Below are 15,172 nucleotides of genomic sequence, written 5' to 3' on the forward strand. Positions count from 1 at the left end.
CTCTCTCTACCTCCTCTTTAAGGTCAATAACTCTTAAAGTTGCCCTTTTGAGGCTATATTCTAGATCTTGTATTTGTGCTTCATTAATTTTTATCCTTTTGTCTCCTCTGGTGGTGTATTTTCAAATAGCCTGTCTTCAAGCTTACTGATTCTTCTGCCTCATCAATTGTGAGGTTGAAACCCTGATGCATTCGTCAGAATGTCAATTGCATTTTCAGCTCCAAAATTTCTGCTTGATTGTTTTTAATTATTTAGCTCTCTTCCGGATTCTGAATTTCTTGGCTGTGTTGTCTTGAATTTTGTTGAGTTTCTTCAAAACAGATATTTTGAGTTCTGTGTCTGAAATGTCACACATCTCTCTCTCTCTCTCTGGGATTGGCCTCTGGTGCTTTATTTGGTTCATTTGGTGAGGTCATGTTTTCCTGAATGGTCTTGAGACTTGTGGATGTTTGCCTGTGTCTGGGCATTGAAGAGTTAAGTATTTATTGTAGTCTTTGCAGTCTGGGCTTGTTTGTACTCGCCCTTGGAAAGCTTTTCAGGTATTTGAATGTACTTGGGTGTTGTAATCTAAGTTTTCTATCTCTGAAACCTTATCTGCATTAGGGAGCACCCCAAGTCCAGTAATTCTGTGGTCCTTGTGGACTCACAGATATACTGCCTTGGTGGTCTTGGATAAGATCTGAAAGAATTCTCTGGATTATCAGGCAGAGACTCTTGTTCTCTTCCTTCACTTTCACTCAAACAAACATCTCTGTCTCTCTCTCTGCTGAACTACCTGGAACTGAGGAGTAGTGGTACAAGCTCCCTGTGGCTGCCATCACTGAGATCCTAGGTCAGAAAAAGCCAGCATGATAATGGGTCTCACCCAAGGTCCACAGTAACCACTGCCTTGCTTGTTGCCTATGTTCAAGGCCCCAGGGATCTACAATCAGCATGTGGAAAAGTCAGCCAGTCTTATACCCTTCCCTTCAGGGTCACGAGGCCCCCTGACCCCAGGCACATCCAGAGATGTTATCCAGGAGCCAGGGCCTGGAGTCAGAAACCTTGGGGATCTAACTGGTGCTCTATTCTGCTGCAACTGAGCTGGCATTCAAGTCACAAGATAAAGTTATTTCCACTCTTCCCTGCCCTTTCACAACCAGAGGAGTCTCTCCCTATGGCTACCACCGCCCCAGGCCCACAGCAAGAATTGCCTGACTATTGCCAATGTTCACTCAAGGCCCAAGGACTCTTTAGCCAGCTTGTGGTAAATGCTGCCAGGCCTGAGACTCTTCTTTCAGGGCAATGGGCTCTCCTCTGGCCCAGGACTGGTCCAGAAATGCAATCCAACAGCAAAGTCCTGGAATCCGGGACCCCAGGAGCCTACTTTGTGCTCTACTCCACTGTGGCCAAGGTGGTAGCTAATCTGCAAGACAAAGGCTCCTTTATTATTCCCTCTCCTTTTATCAAGCAGAAGGAGCCTCTCCTCATATTCATCACAGCTGGGAATGTGCTGCATCACACCTGAAACCAGCATGTCTCAGATTCTCACCTAAGCTCTATGGCAAGTACTACCTGGGCATTGCTGCTGATTATTCAGGGCCCAAGTGCTCTTTATTCAGCAGATGATGAATCTTTCTGGGCCTTGTTCCTTCCCCACAAGGCAGCAGGTTCCCTTCTGGCCCATGGTGTGTTTAGAAATGTCATCCAGGAGCTAGGGCCTAGAATTGGGGCCTCAGTACTCTGCTCATTGCCCTATCTGACTATGGCTGAGCTGGTGTCTGATTTTCAAGAAAAAGTCCTCTTTACTCTTCCCTCTCCTGTCTTTAAGTGGAGAGAAGGTATATTAGGCCATTCTAGCATTGCTATAAAGAATACCTGAGACTGGGTAATTTATAAGAAAAGAGGTTTAATTGGCTCATGGTTCTGCAGGCTGTACAAGAGGCATAACACTGGCATCTGTTTCTGGGAAGGCTCCAAAAGCTTATAAGTATGCAGAAGGCCAAGGGAGAGCAGGCGCATCACATCGCAAAATCAGGAGCAAGAGATAGAGAGTGGAGGGTGTATTAGTCTGTTCTTATCCTGCTAATAAAGACATACCCAAGACGGGGTAATTTATTTAAAAAAAAAAAAAAGAGGTTTAATAGACTCACAGTTCCACATGTCTGGGGAAGCCACGCAATCATGACAGAAGGTGAAGGAAGACCAAAGGCATGTCTTACATGGCAGCAGGCAAGAGAGCTTTCACAAGGGAACTCCCATTTATAAAATCATCAGAACTCCTGAGACTTATTTACTATCATGAGAACAGTATGGAGAAAACCACCCTCATGACTCAATTATCTCCACCTGGCCCTCGCCTTGATACATGATGATTATTACAATTCAAGGTGAAATTGGGTGGGGACACAGAGCCAAACCATATCTGAGGGGGAGCTGCCACACACTTTTAAATGACAAGATCTTGCAAAAACTCACTCACTATCGTGAAGACAGCACTAAGCCATGAGGGATCTGCCCCCATGACCCAAATACCACCCACCAGGCCCCACCTCCATCACTGGGGATGACAATTCAACATGAGACATGGGTGGGGACAAATATTCAATCTCTGTCATTCTGCCTTTTTTCTCTCTCAAATCTCACGTCCTTCTCACATTGCAAAATACAATCATGCCTTTCCAACAGTCTCCCAAAGTCTTAACTCTTTCCAGCATTAACTCAAAAGTCCAAAGTCTAATGCCTCATTTAAGACAAAGCACATCTCTTCCACCTTACTAGCCTGTAAAATTAAAAATATATATATTTACTCTTAAGATACAACAAGAGTATAGGCATGGGGTAAACATTCTTCTTCCAAAAGGGAGAAATTGGGCAAAAGAAAGGTGCTACAGGCGCCATGCAACTTTGAAGCCCATCAGGAGAGTCATTAAATCTTTTTGTTTGTTTGTTTGTTTGTTTGTTTTTGAGACAGAGTCTTGCTCTGTCACCCAGACTGGAGTGCAGTGGTGCGATCTCAGCTCACTGAAACCTCTGCCTCCTGGGTTCAAGTGATTCTCCTGCCTCAGCCTCCTGAATAGCTGGGATTACAGGCACGTGCCATCATGCCTGGTTAATTTCCATATTTTTAGTAGAGATGGGATTTCGCCATGTTGGCCAGGCTGTTCTCGAACTCCTGACCTCAGGTGATCTTCCTGTCTTGGCCACCCAAAGTGCTGAAATGATAGGCATGAGCCACTGCACCCAGCCAAAGTCATTAAATCTTAAATCTCCAATAGTTCTTGACTCCATGTTCCACATTCAGGGCACACACTGGTGCAAAGGGGGACTACCAAGGTCTTGGGAGTTCTTCGTCTGTGGCTTTCCAGAGTTCAGCCCCCAGGGTTGCTTTCACATGTTGTTGGGTGTTTTGGCTTGTCCAGGCACAGGGTGCAAGCTGTCAGTGACAATATCGATCTGGGGTCTGGAGGGCAGTTGTCCCCTTTCCAAAACTCCACTAGGCAATGCCCCAGTGGGATTCTGTATGGGGCCTCCAACCTCTAATTTCCTCTCTGCATTTCCCTAATAGAGATTCTCTGTAAGGTTTCCACCCTTGCAGCAGGCTTCTGCCTGATCACCAAAGATTTTCCATAATTCTCTGAAATCTAGATGAAGGCTGCCAAGCTTTCTTGATTCTTGCATTATGTACACCTGTAGGCTTGACACCACATGGAAGCCACCAAGGCTATAGCTTGCATTCTCCAAAGTGGCAACTCAAGCTGTATCTGGGCCCCTTTGAGCCACAGCTGGAGCTGGAGCAGCTGGGATGCAGGCCGATGTGTTCTGAGGCTGGGCAGAGCAGCAGGACCCTGGGCCTGGCACACAAAACTATTCACTCCTCCTAGGCTTCAGGGCTGGTGATGGGAGGTACTGCCTGGAAGATTTCTGAATTGTCTTCAGGCAATTTTCCCAAAGTCTTTGCTATTAGCACTTGGCTCTTTTTTAACTATGTTAATATCTCTAACAAGTGGTAGCTCCACAGCCTGCTTGAATTCTTCTCCCACAACATTTTCTTTATTTGCCACATGGTTAGGCTGCAAATTTTCCAAACTTTTACACTCTGCTTCCTGTTTAAATATACATTCCAGCTTTCAGTGTTTTCTTTGCTCTCACATCTGAGTGTAGGCTGTTAGAAGCAGCCAGGCCACATCTTCAACACTTTGCTGCTTATAAATTTCTTCCACCAGATACACTAGGTCATCACTCGCAAGTTCAAACTTCCACAGATTCCTAGGGCAGAGGCAAAATGCACCCAAGTTCTTTGCTAAGGCATAACATGTGTGACCTTTGCCCCAGTTCCCAATAAGTTTCTCATTTCCATCTAAGACCTCAACAGCCTGGACTTCACTTTCCATATCACTATCAGCATTTTGGTCACAACCATTTAACCAGTCTCTCAGAAATTCCAAACTTTCCATCATATTCCTGTCTTCTTCTGAGCCCTCTAAACTCTTCCAACTTTTGCCCATTACCCAGTTCCAAAGCTGCTTACACATTTTCAGTTATTTTTATAACAATACCCAACTTCTTGTATCAATTTTCTGAATTAGGCCATTCTTGCATTGCTGTAAAGAAATACCTGAGACTAGGTCATTTACAAGAAAAATGGTTTAATAGGCTCATGGTTTTTCAGGCCGTACAGAAGGCATAACACCAGCATCTGCTTCTGGTGTAGTCTCAAAAGCTTACAATCATGGAAGAAAGAAAAGGGGAGGCAGGCACATTACATGGTGAAAACAGGAACAAGAGAGAGAAAGAGAGTGTGTGGGGGAGGGAGGGAAGGTCATTTAAAACATACTTTTAAATGACCAGATCTCACAATAATTCATTCTCTATTCTGAGGACAGCATCAAGCCATAAGGGATCTGCCCCCGTGATACAAACACCCCTCACCAGCATGGGGATTACAATTCAACATGAGATTTGGGTGGGGACAAATATCCAAACTATATCCAAAGGAGTCTCACCTGGAGCTGTGGGCTGTGCTGCCTGAGGTTGGGGATGGGGTGGCATAAGCAATTTCTTGGCCACCCCAGCTGGTATCTCACTAGGTCATGTGTCCCCAAGTCCACTGACTCTGAGTTCAGCACAGCACCAAGACTTGCCCAGGAATTGTAGTCCTTGTGGCCTGGACTGTGTTTCAAGTTTATTTAGGACCCTAAGGCACTTTAGCCCATGGTAGCGAGGCTAGCCAGAACTCAGGTTCTGACTGCTGGGATAAGTGATTCCCCTCTGACTAGGGCTGGTCTAAATGTTCTTCCATGAGTGCTGGCTGAGTCCTGCCTGCTGTTGCTATCCACTGTGTGAGGACAGCAACGACTTCCAACACAAAGTCCCACAGTCACTGCACTCTCCCTAACCCAAATGCACAGACTGTCTCTCCAAGCCATATGGCCACTGCCAGGGGATGGGGGAGGCATGGTATTGGCAATTCAAGAGTGTCTTTTCTACCTCTTTAGTGCCTCTTTCAGTGATATGAAGTTAAAACCAGGTACTGTGGTCACTTAGTTGATTTTTGGTTCTTATGAAGGTGCTATTTTGTGTGGATAGTTGTTCAGTTTGATGTTCTTGTTTGGAGGAACAGTTAACGAAGGCTTCTATTTGGCCATCATGTTCTACCTTCTTCTTAATCATTCTATTGGGTCTGTAGTGATATCTCTATGCATTTTTCTATAAGTAATTATATTTACATTTTTTTCTGTTTTCATTAGTAATTTCTATCTCCTTTTTTCAAGTGTCTGCTTTTAAATTTGCCTGTTTTAAAATCTTACGTTGTTTGTTCTTATATTACTAATACGTATAATATGTTTGTATTTTTTATATAAACCTTTTGACCATTAAATATATTGAGTTAGTCTTCTCCCAGAGTGGCCTGCCTTTGTACTTTCTGAATAGAGTCTTCTCATGAACTGAAATTTTCTATTTTTTGAAGTTTAATTCATATATATTTTTCCTTTTACAGTGACTACTCTTTGCATTTCAAGGATATCTTGCCTATAACAGAATTATGAGTTGTTCCATTCTGTTACTTACTCTACTCCTCCTCATTAGTAGCCCCATCCCTTTTTCTTTGTCATCACTTGAAAATGCTAAATCTCCAAAATCACAAATTAAATATTCCACTATCTGCCTACAGCTTCTTATCCTATCATACCTGTTCTTTGATATTATTGACATCTCCTCTCCACTGGTAAATATTCTTTCTATTTCCTAGGGTCCCTACAGAATTTCTTTACTCATTCTAGAGCAGATATGAGGATGTTACGTGTTAAAAATCCTAGCTTGCAAATAGTTATTATTTTATATTGATACTCTTAGGCTTCCCTTTCATTTACAAAAATAAACAAGAATAAATGCACTGATCTCTTTGGCATGGCAGAAGCTGAATGCTGTCAGAGTAAGTCACACCGGCACAAACTGTTATCATGATAAATACATAGTCACTAAGCTTACCTGCCTTTATATCCCTGCTTTGAGATTATAGTATGGTCCTTTTACTAGCTCAGTCTTTCACCCTCCTCAAATATTGTTTCAAATATTTAAGACTTTTTTCCAGTCCCTAATTCTTCTCTTCTTGCCTCTTAAGCCAAAGGCACATCTTGTTAGGACATGCTGGACCTTGCATCTCTGCAATTAACACAGTTTTTCTACTGTGTGAAGGTGTCACCTTGAGTGAAGATGGTTCTTGTGGACGGGAACCCAGTGTGGGGCTCAACTCTAAAGGGATGTGGCAATGGGTCTGAAAATGGGTTCTCAATGAAGCATCACAGTGTCCACTATGTTTATGAAGTAGATCCACCCTGCCACAGACTTCTAGGTAAGAGGAGGTGAGCATGCATCATGATTCTCTACTAGAACCTCTTTAGATTCCATGTACTCAAGTCATACTATTTATTTTCATACTGCATATTTTAATGCTTCTCCCAACTCTTTTGGTAATGCTAATTGCATGTGATAGAATTTTTGTTACTGCTATTTGCAAAGAGTGAGAAATTGTATTATTTCTAATTGCAGAATGTTAGAACTTGTATTATTTTGTTAAAGCAAAATAAGATCTCCAAGACTCACTTTTCCATTGCTATGTCTATTAACCATGGTCCTGGAGGTATTGAGGAGGGATGAAAAGACAATTTACAAAACTGTGGCAAGGTTAAGGAACCCAGTAAGAGAAGAGAAAGGATTATGGGGATAGTATAGTGAGTGCTCTTATTCACATTGGCCTAAAATAAGTAGGAGAGTGTGTGGATCTCGGGGCTTTTGACATTTTACATTTGGGGTAAGGATGTTTGTAGGGTGCTGTGACCTTTGGTAGAGAAAAGCAATCAATATGAAATAGTCCAGCAAGGAGGCAGCCAGGAGACACACAAACCGGGACAGTTGGTTACCCTCTCTCTCTCTACTCTCCTGCCATTGTCTCTCATAAGACAAACTCACTCTGGAGTACACAAAAAGAGATGCAGTTACTATAATCCATTGGCATCAACCTCTGAAGGCAGGATGGATCTGGAGGGATAAACATAACCTGCCCAGAGGATGACTCATAGGGTGGCCTTGTGGGTGCTGAATCCCAAGTGGTTAGGTCTGTGCTGTGAGCTGATAAAGCCCCAGAATTATTTATGGGGAATCTATACTCCTAATAATTTACAGACAACACAGATCCACTTTGGACTTGATCAGATGGACAAAATCTTGGGGACTTGACATCACTGCGCACACAGGGGAGGAGCTGGGATTGTTGTCCAGGAAAGGAAAATATAAGGAGAAACCTTGGTTTGAATTTGGTGTCAGACATATGATGAGAGGACAGCCAGGAAGATCTGGAACATGAAGATTTAATTACAGGCCACTAACTCTCAGCTGACGGGCAGGTCTGTGAGTTCCAGAATGGAGCACTGCAGCAGTAGGTGGGGAGGAGGCTGAGAGGGCGATGAGGCAGTCTGAGTGCTGAGGGCAGTGCAGTCAGAGAAGCAACTGCCTCATCACAGAAGCTTCTGCCCTTACTCATCCCCTTGCTCTGCAGGATGAGGAGGGAGTTCCATGGGTAGGGACCACTGGACCTAAGGAAGCCTGAAGGGGAAGGACCACAGGACAGTGACATCACAGGATATCCTTCCTATCAGGAAAAGTGAGGCTCAGAACTCAGCTCTTCCTGGGAGGACCAAGCCCTGAGCACAGGTGCAGTGCTGCCTGCTCCGCTGTGCCATGGGCTCCGGACTCCTCTGCTGGACGCTGCTTTGTTTCCTGGGAGCAGGTGAATCCTGTGGACAGGACAGCACCCCTATTCTCAGCTTGCCCACCCCTGTGTCCCCCACTTCACCATGGGGAGGCACAAGTTCATTCTCCACCTATTTTTTCCTCAGGCCCAGTGGAGGCTGGAATCACCCAAGCTCCAAGACACCTGATCAAAACAAGAGACCAGCAAGTGACACTGAGATGCTCCCCTGCCTCTGGGCATAACTGTGTGTCCTGGTACCTACGAACTCCAAGTCAGCCCCTCTAGTTATTGTTACAATATTGTAATAGGTTACAAAGAGCAAAAGGAAACTTGCCTAATTGATTCTCAGCTCACCACGTCCATAACTATTACTGAGTCAAACACGGAGCTAGGGGACTCAGCCCTGTATCTCTGTGCCAGCAACTTGATGCAGGCCTGCAGAGCCAAGAACATTCTGTGTACAAACATCCCTGCCCCAGTGTGGAGAACTTCAGCCCTAACATATCTGTGAGAACTTGAGGACTGTAGTGGGAAAGAAAAGCAGTTTCAGGAAGCTGGATCCTAAAACCTGGGGTTTTCTGCCAGTTAGGAGTGGGGATAACAAGGCCAAGAGGGTCTGCTCAGGAGGTGGTGAAAACTACCTTCTTCGCCAAACGCTGTACACTATAGGGATAGTGGAAGTGTTTGTAATTTAATAGCTGGTGCCCTCTTTACAGGGCAGCAGATTTAATTTCAGGGTCAAGATTCTTGATAATAGTGTGGAAGGGAAAATCATAGGGTTTGCTTTATATAATTCAGGGAGAAGAAAGTGAGATTTGGGGAAATTCTATGAAAGAGAAAATGATCAAAGATAGTTGAAAATAGAGATAGAGCAGAAGGTAATGAAACATGGTGATCTGTGCACCATGAGCTCCCTTCTCCTCCCACAGTTTTTGATATCCAGAAAATACAAAGAAAGGTCTTATAGCAACTGACATCACCTGGGGACTGGTCCTAGTTGGGGATATCACAAATAGCAGCCTGCCTGATGTGAGGGCCTTGGGGTTGGTTCTGACATCTTCTTTCTCGACTTCTGGATCTAGTCTTGCCTGCTCGAGGCACAGTCAAATACTTCCCAAAACACAAAGGAGGTCAGGTCAGTCTTGGTCCTAAAGGGGCAAATGCTGTCCGTTTTCTCCCAAGATAAAATTCTGCATCCCTGGGATTCCTCTCTGAGACTCAGTGCCCAGATTCAATTACCTTCTGTAATTAAACAGTTCTTTGAACATTTTCTAAAACTCATCAGCGTTGGTATCATCTGCATTTCTGCTATTTCCTTGGCCTGGAAACTTTTGTTCTCTCCAGACACATCTAGCCCCTGCTCATCTGTCAAGGATGGTCTCACATCTGCCTTACTCTTTGCTTCTTACCCTGACATTCCCTGGAACTGGACTGTATCAATTTATTTATTTACTTTTTTAAGACAAGAGTCTCACTCTGTTGCCTGGGCTGGAGTGCAGTGGCATGATCTTGGCTCACTGCAACCTCCATCCCCCCGGTTCAAGCTATTCTCATGCCTCAGCCTTGAGAGTAGCTGGAATTACAGGCACATGCCATCATGCATGGCTAATTTGTTTTGTATTATTAGTAGAGACACGGTTTCACCATGATGGCCAAGCTAGTCTCAAGCTCCTGACCTCAAGTGATCCCCACGCCTCAGCCTCCCAAGTGCTGGGATTACAGGCATGAGTCACTGCGCCCAGCCCTGGACTGTATCACTTTCTTTTCTTTATTTTCATAAGAAAAGCCAAGTTTATAATTAATAGTATCTGAAGTTTGTAAAATGAAAAAGTTAATGCATACTTATATAGAATCCTGGAATATCATTAATCACCATCTTCCCTTCAATGGGACTCCTCTTTCTTAAAATGTAATGAAGATTCTTAGAGACAGTGTCAGTTTTTCATATAATTTCTGCAATATTCTAAGCAATTGTGTCTTCATAGTCAGAATTGATAACCAATGCTATAAAGTATCCTAACTCTAAGGCTGGAATTTGCAAATACTCTTTTGGAGCAAATAAAATTGTGTTGTAGTAATATTCATCCAGTCTCATGATCCTGAAAAAACAAATTATTCAGCATAACCACACTTTCCACAGCCACATTTTTAGAGATTTGATGAGACTGGAACATCATCAAAGATGCTTCTCAGAAATCAACCTAAAAAACTGAAATAAAAATTAGTTAAGCTCAGTAATGGAATCTTATCATCCTTTCTGAGTAAAAGATATTGTGTGTGCAGGAACAGAAAACCAAACACCACATGTTCTCATTCATAAGTGGGAGTTGAACAATGAGAACACATGGACATAGGGAGGGGAACATCACACACCGGGGCCTGTCGGGGGGTTGGGGGAAGGGGAGGGAGAGCATTAGGACAAATCCCTAATGCACGCGGGGCTTAAAGCCTAGATGACAGGTTGATGGGTACAGCAAACCACCGAGGCACATGTATACTTATGTAACAAACCTGCACGTTCTGCACATGTATCCCAGAACTTAAAGTAAAATAAAAAAAAAAAAACCCAAGATATTGTGTGTGTGTGTGTGTGTGTGTGTGTGTGTGTGTGTGTTTGTGTGTGTGTTTGTGTGTGTTTTCTGTGGAGACTCAGCCGCATGGAAATAGTTTCTCAGGGTGGCATTACTAAGAGGTGTTGGGTCATTGGCAGAGCTCCTAGGTACTTCTGGGTAAAGAAAGGAAATATCAGACCCAATTGAATCTGCCTAAGTTATATACAGCTCATAGGGTCGTTTATTTCAAGATTTTTTAAAATTCAGAAATAAATTTGTAAAATTGAAAAATCCTCTTTATAGAATGTGCTATCTAAAATCTGGGAATAATAAATCTAAATATAGGCCAGACGCGGTGGTTTACACCTGTAATCCCAGCACTTTGGGAGGCCGAGGCGGGTGGATCACGAGATCGAGAGATCGAGACCATCCTGGCCAACATGGTGAAACTCCGTCTCTACTAAAAATACAAAAATTAGCTGGGCATGGTGACAGGCACCTGTAGTCCCAGCTGCTCAGGAGGCTGAGGCAGGAGAATGGCTTGAACCCAGGAGGTGGAGGTTGCAGTGAGCTGAGATTGCGCCACTGCACTCCAGCCTGGGTGACAGAGCAAAACAGCGTCTCAAAAAAAAAAAAAAAAAAAAAAAAAAGTCTAAATACAAAGTGTGAAAAGGTGTGGCTCTGATTATTCAAAGGGAGCTCTGGAATGTCGTGTTTCCAGTCTGGATCTGCTTGATATCCTCACACTGTTTCACCCTGTGGCCTGTATAATTCTGGCTCCTCTCTTCCATCTTAGGATACTCATTGCAATGATGTAGCAGCAGTTTATTGTGCAATCAAGATGTGCCCTTTTGTTTTCACTGGCCAAGGGTGAATTTGAAGTTCCACCCTAAGTCAACCCTTCTGGGAAAGCAATAGAGAGTGTGTGTGTGAGAGGGTGTGGGTTGCAGGGGTTGGTGTAGGGGCATCTCTGCTCCTGACTTAGACAATGCTGAGCTCATCAGGTCAGAAGGTGTGAATCCATGAGACTGGAACTTTGGCCACTTGGAGGTGCTGTGGCTCCACAAAGCTGTGGGGAACCCTGGGGAGGGGTGGAGGGTGACCCAGGAGAGGACGGCTGAAGGGAATGCTTGGCTGCGTGCTGGCATCAGGAGGCGGTTGGAATTCAGAGTAGGTCCTGGGACTGCCCAGGGCAAGGTAGGCACACCAGGGACCTCAGTTTGCATCAAGGAGAGAATGTCTTTGCCTCTGCATGGGCAGTGGAGGGTGAAGAGGCTGGGGCAGCAAGGGCTGGGAGTCAGTGCCAAGAAAGTGACAGGGGTTGTCAGAGAAAAATAAGGTGGGATATGGGCATGTGGAGACTGTGTTCCACCTGCCCCACTTTTAATTTCAGGGTTGTGTAGGACAGGAATGGTGCAGGAAGCAGCAGAGCCTGGGGTCTGACAATGGGTAGAGCAGGCAGGGGTGGCCTGCAGGGAGAGTTACTGGGAAAGGCCGGTTTCCCAAGGAAATGCCTGAAACATTCCTGCCCCACTCAGGAAATGACCATGAGGTGGGTGCTGCCAGACAGAGGGGTTCAGGCCCTGCAGAGCTGACAGGCCTTTCCCAGGCACTCCCTGCTGCTTCTACATGTGATCTGCTTTAATGCCCACTGATATCAGGTAGGGTAAATATGATTTTACCTGTTTATACATATGGGGGAAGCAGCTGTCCCTGTTCTCATGTTTAGTAACCGGCTATAGTCAGTTCCTCCAACACCTCTGCACGCCGCCCTGCTCTGTACATGTGTCCTCTCCTCTGGCTTCCTCATTTCAGATCCCCGTTAGCAGGAGGGAAAGATCATGTCTCATATGTGGTCATTAAAACCTCTTCCCCGACAAGCCCAAGGAACTTCCAGGTCAAGCATCTACATTCATCCTTCACTGTAGGAAAGAAAAAGAAATAAAATTTTCTGCACTGTGGACTTTCTGTAACTGATGTAATATACCTTGAGGAAAATGAGCATAAATAGTTGCTATTCATTCATTAATTAATCTTATTCTTTTACTCAATAAACTTTTTGAGGATCCTTCTTTGTATAAGGTATTCTGTGACATAAAATTGAAAAGAAAAAATATTAAGTGGAAAAAATGTTTCTTGCTTTTTAGAGTGTTAAGGTTTGCATTTATTTTTTAAATTGTTTTCTTTATTAAAAATAGTTTACTGATTTCTAAATTATACAAATTTACTTTTTTCTCTTTCTTTGGCTAACTAGTCCCATTTTAGACAGCCATTTAATTTAACTGTGGTAGGAATATGTAATATGAAATATATCTTTTTAACAGATTTTTGTATGTACAATACGGTATTGTAATCTACGGGCAAAAGGTTGTACGGCAATCTCTAGATCTTATTCATCCTCCTTAACTGAAATTGTATACCATTGACAGCAACTCTCCATTTACTCCAATCCCCAGCCCTTGGAAATTACCTTCACCTTTGCTTCCGTTACTTCAATTATTTACGTTCCATCATATAAGCAGAATCATGTGGTATTTGCCTTTCTGTGCCTGGCTTATTCACTTAGTGTAATGTCCTGTGGGTTTATCCACATTGTCATATATGGCTGGATTTTCCTCTTTTTAAATGTTTAAAATACTTCTTTGTATGCATCTAACATGTTTAAGGTCTGAAGTATAAAATGTGTCATATCTGACTGTTTCTATGAAACAGTCTGTCACATGACTGGCAGTCATTTGCAGAACTGCAAGCACTGAGTACACTGATGCACATTCACAGTTCAATTCTGCTTCATGGAGAAGACTTAGAGAAAATATTAATCTAATCATTCATTATCATTTTATGATGCACAAAATAGAAAGCCTTCATTAGGAAAATTTCAATTAATTAGAAATTCAACTATACGAAAACATCTTAACGTGCAAAAGCTATTCTCATTTTACAGGTAGAGGAATTGGCCCATAGTTTAAATTACTTGACCAAATTAAGTAGGAATTAGGATGCAGTACTGGGGTTCTAACCCTGGTCTATCAAAGCCCTGTATTTTATAGCTATATACTATAATCTATTTCATAACAAATGATGCTTATCTTCACAAAAATTCAAATGTTATCTCCTAGGTCCCTTTCAGACCTGCTGGCTCTAATAACATCATAGACAGAAATCAGTTTACCCTGGGCGGGGGGGTGGGAAACAACTATGAATGGGTACCATGACATCAAGCCTGACTCCCATTCTAGCACCAGCTCCTCAAGACGTGAGGCCAGTTCTTGACAGATTTGGCTTAGTTTGTTTTCTGTTTTTTTGTTTTTGTTGTTGTTGTTGTTTGTTTGTTTTAATCTATGAAATGAGACTGCTACTGTCCATCTGCAGGGCTGTGTACAAAATTAAATAGCATAAAGTATCTAGCATGTAGCAGAAATCTAGATATTAGGTTGGTGCAAAACTAATTGAGGTTTTTGCCGTTACTTTTAGTTACTTTTAATGGTAAGAACTGCAATACTTTTGTACCAACATAATATTTTCATTTCCTTTGATAATCTCAGATAGCCTCTTTCACCATGCCAATGTGCAAAGGCAGATACGGACATATGATACCTAGAAATCTTAGGTTGAGGATTCAGAAGTCACAGAAATGGAAATATACATTTCCTCTGATGATTTATTTGATGAAATTAACTAATTAACTAAAGAATGCAGTATGGATCCCTCTTGAGGCATTTAAAAATCAATGTTGTTGACATATAAATTATACAATGTAAACATTATACATTTTAAATGAACAGATCAGTGATTTTTGAGCAATATATATGTATATGCCCTTATAATCCCCACCCCTCTTAAAATGTAAAATATCCCCACCCCTATTAAAATGTAGAATATCTCCAGAAAGTTCCCTCGAACACCTCTGCAATGCCTATCTTGGTCCCAGAAAACCAATGATGTAACTTCTATCACTGGAGAGTAGTTTTGTTCACAAATATTTTTAATGTCAATTTAAAACCCATACTGATTAATCCTCTTGAATACATAGCTAAATAATCAAGGCAAGGAAGAGTTTCTGGGAGGTTTTATGGTTTTAGAAGGGATTGAAACCATGAGAGCTACCTTGATCCATGGTAGGAACGATTCTATCTGGAGATGGATGTTGTGCCGAAATAACCTCAAAAGGTCTTTTCAGCTGGTAGAAGCTGATTCGACAACATTTATTTATTCATTTTCATTCATTTCTTTTCTTCTCCATTCATTAACTCAAATTGTTTAGTAATGATATCCTGATAACAGTTAATTATCTCCAAGGAAATTATTTTGAGTTCCCATAGGACACACATGCAGCTGGTTTTGTGTTCACACACTGAGAACGCTGGCGTCAAGCAAACCATGGTAA

General features: G+C 42.8%; 1 pseudogene and 1 further gene, besides 4 other annotated features; both read left to right on the forward strand.

Moving 5' to 3' along the window:
* Window positions 1-15,172, forward strand: part of TRB (T cell receptor beta locus) — a 514,277-nt gene that overhangs the window by 65,242 nt on the left and 433,863 nt on the right.
* Window positions 1,173-1,804: an enhancer, noted in NCBI's record as "OCT4-NANOG-H3K27ac hESC enhancer chr7:142265914-142266545 (GRCh37/hg19 assembly coordinates)". NCBI's record gives its function as "activates a minimal SCP1, AML or CMV promoter by ChIP-STARR-seq in primed H9 embryonic stem cells {active_cell/tissue: H9 hESC(primed)}" and the evidence as "EXISTENCE:reporter gene assay evidence [ECO:0000049][PMID:30033119]".
* On the forward strand, window positions 8,221-8,661 carry TRBV5-2 (T cell receptor beta variable 5-2 (pseudogene); annotated as a pseudogene). Its single transcript is given in 2 exon segments — window positions 8,221-8,269; window positions 8,379-8,661. Coding segments are annotated over 2 exon segments (332 nt in total), but the record flags the coding sequence as incomplete, so codon positions are not given.
* Window positions 8,662-8,668: a recombination feature (RSS_heptamer).
* Window positions 8,669-8,691: a recombination feature (RSS_spacer).
* Window positions 8,692-8,700: a recombination feature (RSS_nonamer).

This window comes from Homo sapiens, chromosome 7 (assembly GCF_000001405.40).
Source record: "Homo sapiens chromosome 7, GRCh38.p14 Primary Assembly".
Lineage (NCBI taxonomy): Eukaryota > Metazoa > Chordata > Mammalia > Primates > Hominidae > Homo > Homo sapiens.